This window comes from Homo sapiens, chromosome 6 (assembly GCF_000001405.40).
Source record: "Homo sapiens chromosome 6, GRCh38.p14 Primary Assembly".
Classification (NCBI taxonomy): Eukaryota; Metazoa; Chordata; class Mammalia; order Primates; family Hominidae; genus Homo; species Homo sapiens.
In genome coordinates this window covers 51,993,780-52,016,183 of record NC_000006.12, presented here as the reverse complement: position 1 = coordinate 52,016,183, position 22,404 = coordinate 51,993,780, and the positions used below count along the sequence as shown (strand labels likewise).

The following is a 22,404-nucleotide window of genomic DNA, read 5'->3' as shown; positions in this document are numbered from 1 at the left end:
GCTGGTTGCTTTCTAAAAGGGCAAGAAGAACTCTGTTTAGCTCACACAGGAAATGGAGTGCTGGGTATTGTACTCAGGTGAGACTGGATTTCAGAACTTACTGATGCTGGACACCAGGAAGTACATGTCAGTAGGTCCTGGCTCCATTGAATTCAGGGACTTCATCTGAATCCCCAAAACTCTTCTTTGGGGTTCTTCCATGCTCTTCCTCTTCATTGTATGGGATGGCTGAAGCAACTGAGCCTCAGAACGCATTGACAGTATAGCTTTACCTATGAATATCATTTCAATAGTGCTGCTCAATGTTCTGGCTATTGCAGTAGGCAAAAGTGGGTATGTTTTCTTTTTTCTTTTTTTTTTGAGACTGAGTCTTGCTCTGTTGCCCAGGCTGGAGTGCAGTGGCAAGATCTCGGTTCACTGCAAGCTCTGCCTCCCGGGTTCAAGCCATTCTCCTGCCTCAGCTTCCTGAGTAGCTGGGACTACAGGTGCTCACCACCACGCCCGGCTAATTTTTTGTATTTTTAGTAGAGATGGGGTTTCACTGTGTTAGCCAGGATGGTCTCGATCTCCTGACCTCATGATCTGCCCACCTCAGCCTCCCAAAGTGCTGGGATTACAGGCGTGAGCCACTGCACTCGGCCAAAAGTGGGTATGTTTTCTTGAGTAAGAATTATAATAAGTGCCCTATGATTTAAACAAACAAAGTTTAATGGGGATGAGAGTGGGGGAAACTGGCAGCGGTCTTTTTGCCAGTGGGAAGGTAAGGTAATGCAATCGTCAGAGGACAATTTGCCGATTCACGAATAACCTTAAATTCTTTATACTCTGTGACCCAGCAATTTCTCTTTTAGGATTTTAAGAAAGTAGATAGAAATGTGTAATATTTATAACAATCATGTTCTTTGAAGTTTCAGGTATCAAAAAAAATTTGCAATGAAACAAGTTTTAGTAATAAAGAATGTATCCAAATGATATGATACTAAGTCACCTTTAAAAATTAGGATGTAGAATATTTAACCAGACAGGGAAATATTTATAATATATTGAGAAGTGAAAATCACAGGTCTCAAAAGAGTATATCAATTTGATCCTACTGTTGTATATAGTGTATATGTTTGTACACACATAGGTTACTAGAGAAAAGGCTGGAAAGATGTATCCAAGAATGTTGATGGTGCCTATCTCTAGGTGGTTGGAGTACTGACCATATTTATTTTCTTCATTGAGTTTTTATGTGTTTTTCCAGGGAACACAATGCTGTATCTCCCTGCCATCCACAACATCTATGGGGTTTGATGTCATTTGGCAAAGGGAGAAGTGCATCTGTGGCAAAAATTATACCCTGTCTATTCGTCCGTCCATCCATCCATCCATCCATCCATCCATCCATCCATGATCCATCCATCTATCCAGTATATTCATCCATCCATCCATCCATCCATCCATCCATCCATCCATCCATCCATCCATCCATCCATCCATCTATCCAGTATATTCATCCATCCATCCATCTATCCATCCATCCATCAATCCATTCATCCATCCATGATCCATCCATTTATCCAGTGTATTCATCCATCCATCCACCCATCCATTCATCCATCCATCCATGATCCATCTGTTTATCCAGTATATTCATCCATCCATCCATCTCTCCATCCATCCATCCATCCATCCATCCATGATCCATCCATCTATCCAGTATTGATCACATCCCTACTCTGTTCTAGGTGTTGTGACAGGTACTGGTGGCTCATTCGTGGATGTCATGAAAGTCCCTGCCCCTTAAGGGTAGAGAAGAAAGTCAGATAATAAACAGGATGATCACGTGTTGTGATAAGTGCTATAAAGTGATAGAAAAATAAAGGGGGGCTACTTTAGAGAGTGTACTCAGAGGAGGCTTCTCTGAAGAAGTCTTTTATGTTACGAAGAGAAGCAGGTGTCTTTATGGAGGGTGAGGCAGTGGCAGCAGCAAATGCAAAAGAACTGTCGAGTTTTATGACTGTTCAGAGGCTAGGAGGGTGGGAGTAGACTGAGAAGGAGGAAAAGTGGCCCCAGATGAGCTCGGAGAGATATGTAAGGCATTGAAGGCCAAAGTAAAGAGTTTGGATTCTCTTCTAAGTGAAGATTAAGTAATTTCCCAAAGTCACACAGTCAAGCCATGGCAGTGTTGAGACTGGAACTCAAGGCTTCTGATGCAGTGTGCTTAGTGCAATGCTGTGCTGGCAGCTTCAGTGTGAGAGCCCTGGCTGAGCTTTGTGGGTTCAGTGAGGTTTCAGAGCCACAGGAAGCAACTTCAGGGGAAGTGAGGGAGAGAAAATGCCTGCAAATTGTTTTCCCTACCTATCCTAAGGAGCACAGCCAAGGTTACTTGCTTACTTTAGGATCTAATCAGATCAACTAAAGAACAATAGTTTGGGAGTCAGGAGTCTTAGATACTAGAACAATCTTTGCCACCATTTTTACCCAATATTTTAAACCATATCCCCCAAAGTAAATATGTGTGTGTGTGTGCAGTGTGTATGCATGTATATCTGTATCTGTATCTGTACATATATTGATCTCTCTGTCTATATATGCTTATGTTGCATATATATATGCTTATATTTATATTTAAATATGGCCAACTGTGCTTCTTAATTCATAGGATTATTGTGGAAGAAACCATGGAAGAGTAGCTAGCTATTTAGAAGCTTTGAAATTTTGTAAATGTTAACCTATTTTGGATATCCTGGTGTCTCAGCTAATTTTGGTGATGGCTTTTTAATGAAAAACATTTCTAGCAAGGTAGTTACAAATATGGAAAAAAGTGTGAGCTGAAGCTGGTAAACAAAAAGTCCAAGCTAACAGAAAGGGGTTTAATTCTCTTCAGAGCAAGAATAACATGCTTAGTGAAAACAGTGTGTTCCTAACAGGCAAACAGAGGGTAGAGTGACTCAGCCCATTTTACTTGTACCTCTGCCAGCGAAGAGTCAGGAAAGGGCATAAGAAGGTTTATGAGGCAAGTGGAAGCCCAAGGCCAAGAAAGGATGTAGAAGGAAGTTGGTCACTACTTTCCTTGAGTTCAAGTCTGTAGTCTCAGATCATTCATAAACTGGGTACAAAAAACTCACTCTTATGATTGAGGACCTATTGCTGGCAATGAACCATGAGAAGGGGTCACATAACAGAGGTGATGGGCAGATATTCTATGAACCTAAAAAAAAGAGGAGGAATTCTGGAAATTTAGACAACTAAGCTTGGTGTTATCCCTGACAAAATTCTAGAATGAACTATTCATCAGATAGTTTGTGAGCCTTCAGAAATGAAAGTAGCCATCTGGAAACCGATTTACGAAGAATGTGATGGTGTGGGAAACCAACTTCATTTCCTTTCTGATAGGTTTATAAGTGACTTATGATATAAACATAGCGGGAGACCTTCACAAACTATTCCAACCACTTCTCCACCCCCAGTAACAAAAAAAGGTTCTAGGTGCAAAGCCCAAAGTGGCCTGATGCAAGCCTCAAGTTGCTCTGAAGTGAGGTGTTTTAAAAGTCTGCGTGAATTTTGCATTTGATTCCATCACATTTCTGTATTGATCTAAATATTACATTGCATTTTAATTTAAAAGTTAAATTACTTTGCTTTTCCTTTCTGAATCTTGGAATACGACTGATGCTCCAGGAGCAAAGGATGGATTTATCCTGTGACTTTGTCTGCCCTGTGGACGAAGGATCAGCGAATGGATTTACAGCTAGATAGCAGGCTACAGATTCAAAACAAATTTGAGCAACAGGTCTAAACCAGTGAGAGATATGTAACAATAATAAATGTAAATTTCCACATTTACATTTTTAACAATAATGCTACTAAAACTACTACCTCCAACAGCTATAACGCGAGCTGCCTTTATTGGATTCGTATTGTGTGCCAGGTTCCATGCTAATCTATTTATATGCTTCATTTTGCTCAGTTTCTTCAACACCTCCACAAAATAGGTACTTGATTATTGGCAACTCCATTTTATAAATGTGGAAACCAAAGCTTAGTGAAGTAATGTCTTCAATGTCATGTAGATGGTAACCATCTGCCCCGGGATTCAGATCCAGCTGATCTGCTTCTGAGCCTAAGCTTTACATGCCAGTGCTCCTCAGAAAATCATTTGAACAAACACACCATGGTGAAATCCTCAGAAAGCTGCAGCTCTGAGACTTTGAATTGACCACTATCTAAGTATAAGCACGGTGGCCTTCAAAATGAACACAGTATCAGGTACCGTGAGAAGGAGGCTCAGATAAAGGCAGACCGGAGTCCCAGTGGTCAGCCCAAACAATCTGCGTTCAGATATGGGTGGCATGATGTTAACATATTGACAGTCTACATTATTAGGTCTAAAGGACTGTGGGTTTGGAAGTCATGTCTTAGGTAGATACAGAGTGGAGAATATTTTAGCATGAAGAAGCGAAGATTAAGTGGTGAGATGTACTAGTTATCCTGCTCATTATTTCTAGAAAATTGTGGAAGAAAACATTTTGACATTGATTTGAAAAAAGATGGTAGGGTTTGACATGGTGTACAGTTTCTCAAGTGGTGACCTTTTTGCCCTTCTCTCCACCCTTCCTGGTCTTCCCATGGGATCTGCCATCTTCCTGGCTGATGTTCAATCAGCATTTCAAAACTTGAGAGCACTGCTCTGGGAAACAGGACCATCTGGTTTTGACCTCGGAGCTACCGTAGTTCTGTGTTTGACTTTCTGAGAATCTCTTGATCTCTTTGGGTTACACTTTTTACACCTCTTCCTAATTTATAGGCTGAAATGAGATCATACATGTGAAATTGTTGACAAATATGAAACATCATGCATTATTATTACTGATAATTTTTGAGTTAGTTGCAAAAATGCCTACAGCCAGGATGATTCTTGAATAAATATCACACCTGTTGAGGATGACACCCTTCACTATCCATGTCCTCACCTCTAGATGGCATATTTTTAGACTTTCTGTAATGCTACACTGCTGTTTTTTATTTTAAATCCAGTCTGGCTTCTCCCCTTAAAGCAAGAGGACTTTTAAAGCGAGTGGCTGGTAGTATAACTGGCACATATATTGAATCTCCTTAGTCTGGGCTGTTAAGTAAGTTTAATTAATTTACTAAGTTAATGTTCCACTGCTAGCAACAGAGCCTCATTGCCATCAGCTGGGAAGGGGGAATTGCAAGCCTAAATGAGCTCATTTTTTCACAGTTGGAATTAGGGACCAGTTAGCCAGTTGTGTGGGTTTTCCAATTTCTCCATCTGCCCTAGGGGGATTCAGGCAATTACTCCCCCAACACTAAGTATGAGTAAGAGCAGGAAGAGGGAAGGGGAAAAGAAAAAAAATAAAAACAAAAACTCTCCCAGACGTTTGTTACCCTTTTTGGAACTGGAAGTATTGTCCCTGCATTTCTTGTTAAGCTGGGCTAGGAGTAGCTTTTGCTAATGTTTTTAATAGATTCGGAAAAGAGAAAGGCCTCAGTGAAAGATATTTACCATGGTGCATTTTCATTGCAGGGTGTGCAGATAAAAGGAAAAACAAATAAACAATAAAAGAATGGAAACAAAATTACAGAAATTTGCAAAATTTGACAAATGGTGGCCTGTAGTTGCCACAAGCTAATGGCTTGCAATGATTAATAAGAGTAAAAATAATTGCATTTCATTAAGATTGATGACACCCCATTTAACCTCCCCTCTCGTTTCAGCCCTAAATTGGAAAGAGATGAAGTTCTCATCTATAATAGCTCCTGTAACATTACCATGGAAACTGAGGCAGAGATGGAGTGTGAGACGCCCAATCAGCCAATTACCGTCAAGATTACTGAGATACGGAAACGCTGGGGCCAGAACACTCAGGTATAATCAAATCTTTTTTACAGACTGATTCAAACAGCTCAAATTAAATTTGTAATATTGTGTACATTAAAAAAACAATTTAGTCCAAATGGCAGCGATATATAATATTAAATGTGCTCAAACTTTGAGAAGCTGGTCTAATGCACAATATCTGAATTCATAGTTAACTCTGGTTAATCATATATTTTCTCAAAAATAAATGAGTGTTGCCCGGGCTCTTTCAAAGCAAATTCTGAGCAGATAATCTGCTTGGCATTTTGTCCTGATTTCTGTATGCATGTTTGAAAGGGGCTCTCTGTGGTTTATTTCTTCACAAAATAAATGGCCTACGATTTAACCAGATCCTACTGGAAGGCTTCCAAATCACTCAGCCGTCCTCAGCTTGGCGGGACAGCAATGTCTGCAGGTCCATTCGGTTCATCTCTGTGCCATGGGGGAGCAGAGTGGAAACTTCAGCTTCTGAGGGGATTACGTGGACATCAGAAACGAAAAGGACCTCAGGGTCATTCGGTCTAGCCTCTCTGCCTCAATTCACCCATTTTGAAATTGTCTAAACCACTCCCTCCAAGTGGCTCTTCTAAAAGCATGTTTGTAAGTCTCCAGAGAGGAATTCCACAGCCTTCCCCGGGAATTTGCGAGAATTGCAATCAGAGGCTCAGGGCTCTTTGGAAATGGATCAGATAATCTTTTACAGCTCCCCAGGCTTCTCACGGCACAAAGATAAAAAATAATATTTATTGAGCACCTACTCCCTTAGGTGCCTTTCTCTTTATGAAAGCAGTTCTCAGATTTTTCTCTTTTTGTCTCTTTTATTTGGAACAAACATTTATTGAGTGCCTATTATGTGGCACTCGCCGTACCAGATTCTCTTGTGAATGCTGCTGCAGTCAAACTGTCCTAATCCAAAAGTCAGCTTCCTGGCTTCAAAATGTGTGTTCTTCTATAACTTTTGTACTGGTGCTGAAAATGTATGCGATGGCAAACAACATTTTTTTTCTGTCCTTACTAAACTGTTCCGTGCCTACCTTTCCATGCTCCTGGGTCCTCAACTGTCCACTCTGTGGCCTCTGCAGGCTTCTCCCTCACCTTGACCTTCCCTTCAGGTGATAGCCTGGGGCTGTCACTTCTCGCTTCATCGTGTCCCCCACAAACACCTCTTCCTTTCAATTTACTACCAATTTTAATTCTCTCCAGAGCCGCTGACCCCCAGTGGCACTTCCACTTTATTCTGCGCCTGTTTCTCAGCAGTCAGCTGTCAGTGACATTTCAAAAGTGTATTGTAGTGCGCTGAGACTGCTGTGTGACACTGGGTGATCTTTAAGCCTCTCTGGGCCTCAGTTTCTGCTGGGTGCGTAATAACCTGGTGTTGTTGGGATGCTTAGATGTGCAAATGCTTGTGAAAGAGGGAGAGGCAGGCTGACCTAGTGTTTAAGTGCATGGACTTTGGAGCTAGACTGCCCGGGTTTGAATACATCACTTGCTTCTTGGGGGACTTTAGGCAGGTTCTTTAAACCCTCTGTACTTCAGTTTTCTCATCTGTAAAGTAGGGTCAATAATAGTTCCCACTTCATAGGGTTGGTGTGCGCCACTGAGAGCTGCATCTCACACATGGTAAATGTCCAATGTTAGCCATTATTGGCAGTGCTAGTTCACTAGTCATAGTGCTAGAAAATGATATGAATTTATTTTTCTATAGTGCTTGCTGCTTTGACCAGATCATTTCACTTCTTAGATTTATTTAATTTCCCATCATCTCAAAGTCTAATTTTGATTTTTTTTAGGCTTAAATGCCTCACTCATTTAAAAATCCTTATGTGACATACATTTGAGTTCCAACCATGTTCAAGGTTCTCTACCATGTTCTGAAGGAGATTTAAAAAATATATGGAAAGAGACCCCACTTTTAAGAGATATTTGGGAAGTGAGGCCTTATGTGGAAGTAGTTAAGTTTCAAAAAAGGGTACATAGAGTCAATTCATCACAGCTGGGTGGAATGTTGGATGCCATACAGACCGGCCAGTTCATTTCAGAGATGAGTTAACTGAGATTCATAATGAGGGGTGGTTGATAAAGGTCACACCGGTAGTTATCTGGCCTCATAACCCATGTGGCTATAGTCATTGTGGGGGAAGTAAGCCATTTAATCTTTAGGAACTAGGAATGTGTCTAGTGCCAGTGTGTAGGGAACTCCAGTCCTGAGGGGGTAAAGAGGAGATGGGTACCATCATTGTAGGTTTCAGATGTGATGTGTTACACTCAAGTGTTAGTGATAATGTCATAGTTTCGAACAGTCTATTGGGAGCAGGGCCCTATCAAGTAGCCAGAAGCACACGAGGGAACAATGGCAGGGATTTATGGCAAACTCAGTCTGAACTTATGGCTGCGTTTAGCTCCAATGGGACCCTAAAGAATAGAACAAGAGTCTCAGGCACACGTCCTGTCGCATCGACTGGATCAATATGGTGGAAGTTAGGAAATAACTATGGCTGGCACACAGTGGCCTGGAGTCCAGAAAAACAACATTCTGTATAATGGGAAAATTGTTAATTCTAGATTCTACTCTTGTTAGGGTGGTTTGGTTTGATTTAGGAACTGGATATAATGAAGTCTATAGGTGGAGGGCTTATAACTAAGTGACTATGTAATTTATCACCCAAACCAGGATGCTTTTGAGAGTGCAAGGTTCACAATGAATGATTATGCTGGGATAGTATGTCACCCTTGTTGGGGTGTGTGATTACCCTACCTGGGCTTGGGAACAGAACAACTTGTCATACATATGTGATACATGGTTACCCTACCCATGTTGGGATGTACAATTTCCCTACCTTGGCCTGGGAAAAACATGCCACCAGTATTATGATGCATGGTTATCTGGGCGTGGGGAAGACCAGCACCAACAAGTGCTTAATCAGGACTACAATCCAGGTCCCTGTTCCAAATTCAAGAATTCCTTGTGTGGGAACCTTGGAACACTAGAAAAGGAAACATTTCTACACTGCTGGTGGGAATGTAAACTAGTACAATCACTATGGATAACAGTGTGGAGATTCCTTAAAGAACTAAAAGTAGACTACCATTTGATCCAGCAATCCCATTACTGGGTATCTAGCCAGAGAAAAAGAAGTTATTATACAAAAAAGATACTTGCACACGCATGTTTATAGCAGCACAATTCGCAATTGTAAAAACATGAAACCAGCCCAAATGCCCATCAGGAAACGAGTCAATAAAGAAATTATGGTATGTATATATAATGGAATACTACTCAGCTATAAAAAGGAACAAATTAATGGCATTTGTAGCAACCTGGATGGAACTGGAGACGATTATTCTAAGTGAAGTAACTCAGGAATGGTAAACCAAATATCGTATGTTCTTACTCATAAGTGGGAGCTAAGCTATGAAGATGCAAAGGCATAAGAATGATACAATGGACTTTGGGGACTCAGGGGAAAGGGTGGGAGGTGGGTGAGGGATAAAATACTACAAATTGGGTTCAGTGTATACTGCTCCGGTGATGGATGCACCAAAATCTCACAAATCACCACTAAAGAACTTACTCATGTAACCAAATGCCATCTGTTCCCCCAAAACCTACGGAAATAAAAAATTAAAAAAATATATTTTTCAGCCAGGTGTGGTGGCTCATGCCTGTAATCCCAGCACTTTGGGATGCCAAGGTGGGTGGATCACCTGAGGTCAGGAGTTCGAGACAAGCCTGGCCAACATGGTGAAACCCCATCTCTACTAAAAATACAAAAATGAGCCGAGCATGGTGGCGGGTACCTGTAGTCCCAGCTACTTGGGAGGCTGAGACAGGGGAATTGCTTGAACCCTGGAGGCGGATGTTGCAGCAAGCCAGGATTTTGCGAATGTGCTCCAGCCTGGGTGACAGAGCAAGACTCCATCTCAAAACAAACAAACAAACAAACAACAACAACAACAACAACAAAAAACAAACCAAAAAATCAGCCCAGCGTGGTGGTGCCTGTAATCCCAGCAACTTGGGAGGCTGAGGCAGGAGAATTGCTTGAACCCAGGAGGTGGAGGTTGCAGTAAGCTAAGATTGCACCATTGCACTCCAGCCTGGGTGACAAGAGCAAAACTCCGTCTAAAATATATATATATATATAATTTTTTAGTGACCTAGATGGGAGGGCGTGAGGCAGTGTGGGAAGATTGATAAGATCAGTACTTACTTTGTTAAAGAATATCAAGTGGCTCAACAACTTAATTTGAGGTCCTGATGTGTTTGTAAGCTAAACGTTTCTTTCCATTGCTTCCTCCCATTGAGGGGTACAGCCAAGTGAGCAAAAAGCCACTCCCACATGCTTTAGGGCCGCAGGACTGCCTACTAGATTCTAAGAAAAATGGCAAGTTGTCCTCTTATCACAAGATAACTGGTTAATATGTTGCTTTTCAAGGTTGGCAATAAAAGTTTAAACCAAAACAAATTAAAAAAAAAAGTTACGTAGGTTTTCCTACCAAAGGACTTTTGCGATCCTTCAATACGTGAATACATAATGTGGATTTCTAGGGAGTGCTGTGGTGTGGACTGTTACCTAAACTTTGCCTGTGGAACTCTTTATTCCCAGAATTTCTCTTGGGGCTGGCATCTGTCCTGCTGCCTTCACTCTGGGAAGTGTTGTGTATGCCATGCTCTTCCCCTCTCACAGAGTAGGGGCTCGGAGTTGGGAAAGGTCATCTTCAGGTGGGGCAGCCAACTAAGCTCTATTAACGCCAGTGGCATTTGTGCTATGCTATGAAGGACAGGGTTTAGGTATTCAGCATGCAGAGGAAAGGCATTTCTGGTGGGGGAACCAGCATGCGCAAGGCAGCAAGGCTAGAACCCACAGGAATAGCAAGGAGCATGGTGTGTGTGAAGGGGAATGGTGAGTTGTAGGTTTGGAAAGGTGGGCTAGGATTGGATTGTGATCTAGAGTTAAGCATTTGGTCCTTTGATTCAGCAGGTGACAAGTAATCCCCAAGGAGTCAGTGACTGATCAAAGGTGAGCTATAGTCACATTAATCTGGCAGTGAGGTATGGATGAACTGATTGGTAAACCGACGAGAGGTAGAAGCATCTCAGCTAGGTGAGAGATAACTGGGGCAGGGAAATGGCAGAGGGAATGGAGAGGCAACACACTCAATAGTCAAGGAATGTGGCTTTCTGTCTGAGATTGAGTTCAGGGAAACCCAAAAAACTCTTTTTGGGTTCCATTTCTCTGTGCTCTCAGTTTCCAATCAGAGATTAGAGTTTAGGGCTGCTAATATTGGTGGAATTTGCAGGGAAGGATACCAGAGAGGAGGGAGCTGTGCAAAAAAGGAACTCTAGAAGTCTGCAGGGGTCCCTTGAGTCCTTTGCCAAATAGTTAACCAATCATGTAGTGAGTATATTTCTGTGAGGTCTAGCAGGCTATAGCTACTGGGAGGCTTGAAGTGAACATAGCCTCTAAGGTACTGGGAGTACTTTGGAACAGCACAGTACTAGAAGATTTCAAATGCTGACTGATTAGAGTGGAGAAACCCCACTCAACACCAGGGCATTGAGTTGAGACCTCAGAAAGGCCACACTTTAGGAATAAAATATTCTAGCTCTGGAGTAAAGCTACTCTAGACCCACTGAATGGATCCTGAAAACAGGGCTTAACAAAATTAAACTGTTATTTCAGTAAATTAATTGTCTGCTAGAGCAAAGCTCAACACCCTTTAAAGGAAGGAAGATAAAAAAATCTCCACCTTCAAGAACATGGCATCCACAATGTCCAGCATACAATCAAGAACCTGAGAAAAAAAGCAAAATATGCAATCAACTAAAACAGACCTATGGATGATAGAGATGTTGAAACGTACTAGATACGGACTTTAAAACAACTGTTATAAGCATATTAAAGGTTTTAAAGGAAAACAAAGATGCAACAAGAGAAGTTATAGGAAATTCCAGCAGGAAAATGAAAACTATTTCAAAAATTAATAAAAATTATAGAATTGAAAGAAATAATATCTGTACTGAAAATTTCACTAGATAATATTAGATTGGGCCTTGCAGAAGACAAGATCAGTGAACTTGTAGACAAAACAATCAAAGCTATCCAAACTGAAGAACAGAAAGAAAAGGGAAAAAATGGATAGATAGTAATCTCTAAGTCAATATAAAGTAGTCTAATATTTGTGTCATTGGAGTAGCAGAAGGAAAAGAGAGGTAGAAGGGATAGAAAATAAAATAAATCTAAATAAATAAATATGCAAAGATTTTCTAAATTTGGTGAAAACTACAAATTCACCGATCTAAGAAGCTTAATGAATCCAAAGCAGAAGAAACATAAAGAGAACCATTATTGGAGTTCTCAATAATGTTAATATGTCAGTTATTCCAAATTAACATTTAAGTCAATGCAATTTCAATAGAACATCTCAATAGGTTTTTTTGGTAGAAATTTCCAGTCTGATTAAAAAATTATGGAAATGCAATAATCTAAAATAGCCAAAACTATCTTGAAAAGGAACAAAATTGGAGGACTTACAGTCTGATTTTAAATCTTACTATAAAGCTATGGTAATCAGTTGAAGTTCTAGGCAAGATCTTATATGAAAGAAAGGTTCTCCTGATAACAGTATGTTTGAAAATTCTTGTGGTAGTGTCATAGAATCCAGGTGAAGGAAGAGTTTGAAGGAATGTGTGTTGAGACTAATCAAAACATACCGCAATAAAGAGGTCCTTAGTGACATTTGAGGCCACAGGACAATATTGGTGGGGAGAAAAACCAGATTTTGGGGGGTTAAGGAGTATATGAGTATCAAGGAAATGCAGGCAACTGGTATAGATCACAAGTAGGAAGGGAAAGGGGAGATGCAGATAAATATTGTGGTTGAGTAGCACCTTCCTCATGTTCACAGCTCACTATCATTAGTACTAGAGATCATTTTCTTAAGTTAAAGGTACTTTGATTAAAGCTGTGGTCTTTAAGTGTGTTACTTGATTTGACAAGACCAAGACTCCACAGGTTTCTCATCTCGTCTGTTTTTCTAGTGACTACAAAATAGCTCTCAGACAACCCTAATGTTTAAGTCATCATAATTTTTTCCAAAATATTTATATTTTAAAATTCATTTAGACTCTTCAATGCATATCTCCCTTAGGAAGATTCTCCTTTTCTTAAAGTTGAAGAATTTTTTTTCTCTTGGGAAATTCCATAGTTCTTAATTATACTTGTTTTAAGAAATTTATCTCTTTTACATTTAAATTACATGTATTTATTTAAATATTTAAACTCCCAAATAGACATTACACTCTCTGAGAGTGAGCTTCATATTGGATTCCTCTTTGATGAATGGATGGATGAAGGCATATATGTCTGTACTGGATTACTGTTTAAAAGGCAAACCACACTGCTTATTTTTATCCCCACTTTTTGTTTAAGGAGATTCTTCTAGGAAATTCATGCAATCCAGCTATGTGACAAATTTAATATTTTCTTTATAATATACATAGCTATTTAGAGGCTAATTTGAAAATACTTTTTATTCCCTAATTAATTTTGTTTCTCCTATTACAGAAATCAAAAAACAATTTTGTCCCTTTTGTCTTCCCTCCCCTTCCCTCCTTGTCTTCTCCTTCTCTCCCTTCTTTCTTTTTTTCCTTTTAGACCCACTTAGTGTGCATCTTCAGGGTTGTGTGCCTGCAGAGAGAAGTGCTGCAGAAAGCAGGGTTGAGCTAGTTATTAGATTAGGGAAAAGGGGTATAGAAACTCAACCATTGACCCCTGACCTGGCTGTCCTGGAGGAAACTTACTGAGTCCCTTGTGCCTGTATTTTCTCCCTGAAATGAGGCTCCAAATGTATGAGAATTACCTACTTCAGGGGGAGGAGAAGCTGGAAAGGCAGACAGTTTCACATCTGAAAGGGCTTTGCCTTCTTAGGGTAATTAGTCAGAATAGGATGCACAGTGAACAGGACTCCTGGGGCCTCTCTTCTAATTCCAGCAATGTCCCTGTCTGACTACAACTGTTTAACAACTCACTTAACCTTTCAATTGATTGGTACTAGCTGACTTCCAGCTTTTGGAGGGAGGAAGACAGTACCTATAAACGTATAATAGTAGGAGAAACCTAAAAGTTCAACAATGGCATTATGATATAGTAGTTGTGAGCTTGGACTCTAAAATAAAACTGGATTTGAGGCTGATCCTTCTACTTACTTGTTATATAACTTTGGGCAAATTTTCTTAACTTCACTGAGTCTGTTAATTCCTACCTTGTAGGGTTGTAAGAATTAATTAATGCATGTAGTGCACTTAACGCAGTGTCTCATTCATAGACAGCCCTGGAAATGTGCCAGGGATTATCATTTTTGGTTAAATACATAATGAGACTACACAATTATGAAAGATAATCAGTCTGTGAGTACTCTGTAAATTGTTATGCCAAGTTAAAGTGTCACAATTTATATAATTGTTTATGGTGGTGTTGTCATAATCAGAACTTGCCGTGTGAAAGAGGCTTTGTCAATTATTTGAACTTAAGACTTTGCATACCTCTGTTTCTTGCTGTTTTTTTCTTTTTTTAAAAAAGAAGGAGGCTGGGCGTGGTGGCTCACACCTGTAATCCCAGCACTTTGGGAGGCCGACGTGGGCAGATCACGAGGTCAGGAGATCGAGACCATCCTGGCTAACACGGTGAAACCCCGTCTCTACTAAAAATACAAAAAAAATTAGCCGGGTGTGGTGGTGGGCGCCTGTAGTCCCAGCTACCCAGGAGGCTGAGGCAGGAGAATGACGTGAACCCGGGAGGCGGAGCTTGCAGTGAGCTGAGATTGCACCACTGTACTCCAGCCTGGGTGACAAAGTGAGACTCCATCTCAAAAAAAAAAAAAAAGGAAGAAATTCTTGCCTTTTCCCCTGTCTTTCTCTCAAGAGTATGATGAAAGATTTGAAAGAAAATCTAGTTCTTAGGTTTGTACAATCTTCTTGCCCTAGGACATTATTACCAATGATTTTAGGTAATATGTTGTTACTACTATTAATGTATTGTTATTATTATTAATCAATGTAAACATTATAATGCATTTTTATTTTATAGAAATGGAATGGCAGGTCTGCTATATCTAATAATATGAAATAAACTGTTACCTTTAACTATTCAGCAATGACACAGTTATATTTCATGCCAAAAGTATTTAGAATCATATGAATGGGTTTCTGTATTCAATGTTAAAATAATTCAACTTTGAATTTCCCATTAAATATGATATTATAAAAATGATTTAGGTACAGTCCCCTGGTGTGTTTGAAACTGTACACTCTGCAAACACATAAATAAAAATATATCTAATTGGAAAAAAAGAGGGAATTCAGGAAATTAGCCTGAATGCAGCTTAAACTCATCTGAACAAGTTAATTGTGCCTCTTTTGTTTCTCAGGGACTCTTTGTATCAAATGAGTTTATGATATTAGCCTGCTCCTCTCATATCAAGATATGTTATCAGTAAATAAGGCTGTGGTTTTGATGAGTGTTTGTCATATTTTGGCTCCCAAAAGTCCTTATTTTTCTTTACAATGTGTTTAAATTTATTATAATATCACTGAGTAATTATTACATCACCATATAGGAGTTTGCATTATCTCAGCTACACTACTCTTAACTTTTATCTTAAAATAACAGTTTCTGTGCTCAGTGGAAAACCGCGAGCTTTATTAGCCCTGTGAAAATGTCCCTATGAATGACAGACAAAAGGTAGTCCTATTGGAATGTGACATGATTATTTATTTCCTTCTAAAGTACAACTTCATAAATTGAAATTATTTTTTTCTAAATAAATACTGTGTGTAATTTTCTCAATGAAACCATATGTCATGGGATTTTTGTTTTTGACTATAGGAGTATAATGCTTACATTTTTTTTCTGAGCCTTTCCAAATATGAAACTTTAGCTATCCTGCAGAGAGGCCTGCTTGCTATGAAATTGCTATAGATGGTACAATGGCCTCACATGGGGATTCTTTGGATTCTACAGGGGAGGTGAGGCTTGGTAATTGAAGAACCAGAAGTGTTCAAATTAGTTTACTTGCTGACTCATTGGGTGACTGGATAACTCAGTTTTGTAATCTCAAGTTGCTATTTCTCGACCAGCGACATGGAAAGATTTTATGGAAGTCCTTAGTAACAGAATGTGAAAACTGTGATATGTCAATATGTTATTTTATCAGTATATTTAATTCTTCATGTGCGAGAAAAGCTTGCTTTTCCACAGGTCCATTTCTTGAATGCATAGTAGTAAACTACCATCTCCCTGAAGCCTGATGAAGAATTAAAGGCACCCAACTATGAGTAGGTTCCTTTCCCAGGTATGAAGGGTCTCAGATAGTAGTTGAATGGGTTTCAGTGGTATATGTGGTGTGGTGTGTTAGTGGTGGTGGTTGTGGTATGTGTTGTGTATTTGTGTTGAGTAAGGAGTAATATGAATTTCATCAGTGTTTGGATATGTGGTTCTATACTAGACATGTTAAACATTTTTTATTTTGCTGAAAGCTCTAATATGTTATCAGTTTTGAGTCTAATATACATAGCATTTCTATTTGCAAAAACAAATAATCATCTCAGCCTTGAGATACAAAAGGCAATTCAGTCAATTTGGAGAACTTGGGTTTTCTCCTCAGGGTTGTCCTCTTTTTAATTCTTGTTGATTCAGCCATAAATCTTCCCCTCCAAAGACCTTGCTTTTATTCCCACAGCACTGAAGTCTGCTCTTACTTTAAAGAGCCACAGTAACTGCTCCTAACATGCACATCTTTATTAGGAAATGTAGGGAACCTTGACCAGATAGCGCAGAGCAGCTGGAGCCTGGAAGGTGAAGAAATTTGGGTAAAGATGAATGGGTTATTCAGATATTAAAAGTGTTATGGAAACGGACTTCATCGAATTGAAAATCAGCTCAGAAAAAAAACAAAAACAAAAACTCCTGTGTCTCAGGGAGTTAGAGGAGAAAAGAAGGGGAACCAGAAGGGAGAGGCAGGAGCATTGGGAGGAATGAAGAATATTGAACTGGTTTTAGATAAAGGCTGTTACTTGGAGATAGAAATGACCTTAATGGTATTACTGTATGTATGAGTGGATGTTAACTTGCATTAACTCTATAAAATGGTAGTTTCAGGCATAGGCTTTTTCCACTTTCTGTTCTTTTTCCACTGGTGCATTCCAGCTTTGAGCTAATCTCCTCGGGCAGGTCAAATAAGGGTGTGTAGGCACAACTCCTCTAAGAGCTTATTTTAGTTACTGTCTTCTTGAATTGCTTTGCTGGTAGGAGGGTTAGGCAACACCTCTTCTAGTCCCCTGGCTGTCCTTGGCTGGAGTTAGCTGATGGTAGACTAGTGGCAGGGTTGTGGATATCCCAACAATGCCACAAAGTCCCTTTCTGGTTGTATCTCTCCATGGAGCCAACATAAATGTAAATCAGCAGAAAAGTGTGCAGATGAGAAGATATTGTCCATAAAATACACACCAATGGATCATTTCAGCTACACCAGAAGAAAGGAAATGTGTTTTTTCTAGAGGATAAAAGAGAAAAGTAGCCATTTAATGAGGGAATAAACTACCCTGAAGGGTATATACATTAAAAAAAGGGAAAAAAACCAAACAAAATAAACAATAAAACAAACAAATAAACAACAGGAAAGGCATGCCTTGATTCTATAGGTTTTACAAAGAAAGCTCTAGCTCCTTTCTAGAATATTATAATTACTAAACTAGTCTTCTCAGGTTCTCCCTTTGATGGGAGATGCAGAATAACTTGGAATATTTTGAAGAGTTCCCTTACTTCCAGTTAAGTGCTAGTAACCTCCTCAAATTAATGGATACTTAGTTGATTTTTTAGACTCCTTTTCTCCTTTACCTAAGAGAATTTGCAGCAGCTTTGCAGTTATTCCCTCTGTGACAGTGATCTCCAATATCCAGTTCTTTATTTTGAGGTCAAGGAAGCACTTCCCTTCCCAGCCTTTTGAAGTTTGATAGGGCCATAGGACTTGTATAGAATGTGGGTAGAAGCACTGAATTTCTGGAGCTCAAATCTCTAGCCTTTTTTTTTTTTCTGTGTTGACTAAATAGCCCAGAGTGTGGGCTGAACATACGTCCTCAACATATGGGGGACAGTTGTTCTGTCCAAGAGATTTGCCAACATCTGTAGTGGATGTTGTGTGAACAAGACATAAGCTTTTGTTGTATTGCTCCGCTGAAAACTTGGGATTATTTATCGCCACGTGCAATCTAGCCAGACTTAACTGATGACACCATTTTTAACAAGTGGCTCTGCAGCCTTGTGGCAGACCCACTCTATTCCACATGGTGTCTTTAATTAGTTTTTCTGTGAGTCTACAGGGAATCAGAACTGGATTTACATTCTTGATGGCAAGTATGACAAGTTAAGCTATGAGATGGAACCATTAGGCAGAAACGACTGATGGGACTTAGTGAGGAAAGGTGGCTGGACATTTGATATCATTCAGCCTCTTTTCATCCTCTGGACTCCCACTCTCCTCCCATGTCATCGGTGATGTGTTTCCACCCTCATCTGCAGTCCTGATGCCCTGAAGATCCTCTGTGGGATTTTCTAGTACTGAGAAATTAATCACTTTCTTTGTAATGTTGTTGCAAACAGTGGAAGTTTCTGGGGAGACATGACTATTCTTGGCATTTCTGCCTGTGCTAAGTCTCTATTTATTTCCTTCTAAGAAACACACTGGAATATTGTGCATCAAGAAACTTTCCTCAAATAAAGAATATATTTTACATCCATTTCCATAGCTCTCTATAATCTGTTTATAGATAGCTTCCAAACTTATGCTCTTTCATTTTTTCTCTTTAAATTTTACTTAAAAAAATTTGTTATGAAGACTTAAATCACAAGGGAAAAATGACTCAAATCATTTGATAAAGAGACTATATTGGCTCACAGAACCGATGATAAAGATGTTATACTGGCTCACAGCACAGGAAAACTAAGGAGTCATAGGAATGGCTTGATCCAGCAGCTCAGGGCTCACTAATGAGATGGCTCTTTCCATGTCTCTTCCCTGCCTTGCAGAGTGTCAGATTCAACCTAAGGTTGCTTTCTCTGTGGCCACAATGTGGTTGTCAGTAGCTTCTAGGCCTACTTGCTTTCCTATTCGTATCACATGGGAATGAAAGGGTCTTTCATGAGCACAGTTCAGAAGAAGGAAATTTCTTCCCCAGAACCCCCCAACAAATATGTCTTCATGACTCATTGATCCAACTTGAGTTAATTGGGCAAAATTCCCTCTGCTCAGGGTAATGGGCTTTGTTGATTGGTTTTGGCCAATGAGTGATCACTGTGCACTTATAGAATAGAGCTAATCCCATCCCAAATACCTGGGTAAAAATATGGTAGCAGTGATGCCTGGAAGGTAAGTCTTGAAGCTGTTGATAAGTGGAAAGCTGGAGAATGGACATTGCCGTCAGCAAACACTTGACCTCAATGACCTTGCTTTTCTCTTTATAGCTACACTAAGGCCACTTCCTCTGATGCTCCTCACTTCTCCTTTTGCTAACTTAAGGCCTTGCTGTTGCATGAGATTTTGAGGGGGTGAAAACAAGTCACCTTTTCTGTATAAGTCAGGTAAATGAAAAGGAAACAGTTTGGTAAGTCTCCCTTAGAATTCAGTAGGAATGTCTGCTTTTAACAAACAAACAACCAAATGAGAAAGCATAATGACTACATAAAACACACATATCTTCAGTGGCCCGCAGGACTTTAAAGTCAGTTAGGTGTTTCTTTTGTGATGTGCGTCTTCCTGTTTCAAAATGACAGCAGCTATTTTTATGATGTACCAGCTCCCAACGGGGATGGCTGATCACTCAGTTCTATGCAAGAGAACCTTCCTCTAATAATAAAGAAAAGAGCAATCTAGGGAAAGAAATAGTCTGTTACAGTGTCGGTTTCTCATAATTCATCTCCCCAAATACTATACAAACATTAATTAAACTTCCCAACTGGGAGCGGTGGCTCATGCCTGTAATCCCAGCACTTTGGGAGGCTGAGGCGGGAGGATCATGAGGTCAGGAGATCGAGACTATCCTGGCCAATGCAGTGAAACCCCATCTCTACTGAAAAAAAAAAAAAAAAAAAAGCCAGGCGTCGTGGCAGGCGCCTGTAGTCCCAGCTACTTGGGAGGCTGAGGCAGGAGAATGGTGTGAACCCAGGAGGTGGAGCTTGCAGTGAGCCAGGATTGCACCACTGCACTCCAGTCTGGGCGACGGAGCGAGACTCCATTTCAAAAAAAAAAAAAAATTGCCGTTCTTTAATCCTTCTGAAACATGATTTACAGATCACTCAGAGGGTCCCAGGCATTGTCTGAGTCCCTCCCAGGGATTTTCAGATGATTGTTTTGAGAGACAACCAAAAACTATGAAGTTATGAAGGGCCTAGATAAAATTATGCATTCAATATCTAGAATGTTAGAACTAGTCCATCCCTTTGGACTTTGGGAGGTTGCTTTAAGTCTACAGAGAAATAAAATACAACTCCTACCTCGTAGAATGTACTATTTAATAGGGGAGATATAAAAACTCACTAACTGTGCTATAAGCAAAATATAATCATGTGATAATAAAGATATGTGTATTTTGTTATGGAAAATCAGTGAAGGCAAAGAAATCTTCTGGGTGGAAAAATTACCTGGAAACTCCCTAGAGAGTGTGGCATTTTATTAGGGCCTAAAAGGATTACCAGGATGTGGATAAGGGAAGATAAGGAACAAAGGTCTACTAGCTAAGAGACTAGTCTTACAGAGTCCCAGAGATGGGAAAACATGGTTTACGTTTAAGTGATTTTATTTGGCTGGAGTGTAAAGTTTGAAAGAAAGTAACCAGGAAGGCAGTTACTAGAAACAAAGGTTGGAAAACATCATGTACAATCTTGAGTGCCAAACTAAGGAGTGTAGATTTAATTCAGGAGGAAAATAAAGCTGTTAGAGGCTTTATAAATTTTGTTGCCACCACTGTGTCTCATAAAATGCTCCTTAGATCCCATATCAGAGTCAGAACTCTAGTCTTGCTGAGCTGTGGCCTGATGGCAGGTAAGGTGAGTTCTAAAACATGTAGCTGCTGTTCTCTTGGAGCTCAGATGCCATTACATGACAGGCAGTGCTTCCACGAGGGGTGAGAACATAAGGAAATGAGGTGTCTTAAGACTGCAGGTGAAAAAGGATGAAGGATGAGTATTCTGAAAGTAATACAAAGAAACGCAGGGTGACCAGAGAGCATACCTGATTCTTGTAGGGTGTTTTAGATTCCTGGTAAGTTACAGAGGGAGGTGGTATGATATAGTGGTCTGAGATTGGCTGATCTAAGTCCTAATTCAAGGCTTGGGTGTTACCTACCTGTGTGCTTGGAGGCACGTCTGGGGAAAACCTCATGGCTGGGCGAGATGGCTCACTCCTGTAATTCCAGTACTTTGGGAGGCTGAGGCAGTTGGATCACTTGTGCCCAGGAGTCTGAGACCAGCCTGGGCAACATAGGGAGACCTCATCTCTACAAATAATGCAAAAAAGTAGCTGGGCATAGTGGCGTGTGCCTGTGGTCCTAGCTACTCGGGAGTCTGAGGTGGGAGGATCGCCTCAGCCTAGGAGATGGAGACTGCAGTGAGTCATGATTATGCCACTGCACTGCATTCCAGCCTGGGCAGCAGAGTAATACTCTGTCTCAAGGAAAAAAACAAACAACAACAACAACAAACCCAAAAAAACAAAACCAAAGAACCTCTTAGTTTCCCCATCTGTAACTGGACAAAATCAACATGTTCCAATGTGAATTCTGTAAGCAATTAGTAAAGAAACATGTCTCATTAGAAAAAAAAGTGTTCTGGGCTGGGCGTGGTGGCTCACGCCTGTAACCCCAGGACTCTGGGAGGCCGAGGTGGGCGGATCATGAGGTCAGGAGATCGAGACCATCCTGGCTAACACGGTGAAACCCCGTCTCTATTAAAAATACAAAAAAATTAGCTGGGCGCGGTGGCAGGCGCCTGTAGTCCCAGCTACCCGGGAGGCTGAGGCAGGAGAATGGCGTGAACCCGGGAGGCGGAGCTTGCAGTGAGCCGAGATAGTGCCACTGCACTCCGGCCTGGGCGAAAGAGCGAGACTGTGTCTCAAAAAAAAAAAAAAGAAAGAAAAAAAGTGTTCTGTAGTGAAGTAAGTTTGGTGAATGCTGCAGACTCGATTCTATCGATGTCCAGTCAGACATTAAAAGCTTGGAGAGTCCTGCAGGAAGGAAGGCAGTTTTACTCTGTTGAAACCAGTCTTTCCTAAGCTTATTTGGTCATAAAAATCTTATTTTTTTTTCTTCCATACAACACCTATTGGCTCTCTGTGGAACACTTTGGGAAATTTTGGGCTAGGTCATTTTTAGCTCCCTTTCCACTTTGACACTGTCTGATTCTGTCTTACCTCTGAAGGTTTCTTTTCAGTCTAACATCTTATACATCCAAGGAAGTTTTCTTCTCCAGTCTGGCTGAGTACAATTT

The 22,404-nt window shown here is 40.3% G+C and overlaps 1 protein-coding gene across 22 annotated transcripts in view; it reads left to right on the top strand.

Moving 5' to 3' along the window:
- PKHD1 (PKHD1 ciliary IPT domain containing fibrocystin/polyductin) overlaps positions 1–22,404 on the top strand; it is a 472,317-nt gene that overhangs the window by 71,432 nt on the left and 378,481 nt on the right. For 21 of the 22 annotated variants that reach the window (XR_001743469.2, XM_017010944.3, XM_017010945.3 and 18 more), the window contains one exon: positions 5,725–5,875. Coding sequence is in view for 20 of the 22 variants with exons in the window: in XM_017010944.3 (XP_016866433.1) it covers positions 5,725–5,875 (151 nt within the window). In the remaining 2 variants the exon portion in view is untranslated. Of the gene's footprint in view, positions 1–5,724; positions 5,876–22,404 lie in introns of those variants that run through there. The other variant, XM_011514690.4, reaches the window with a different exon arrangement.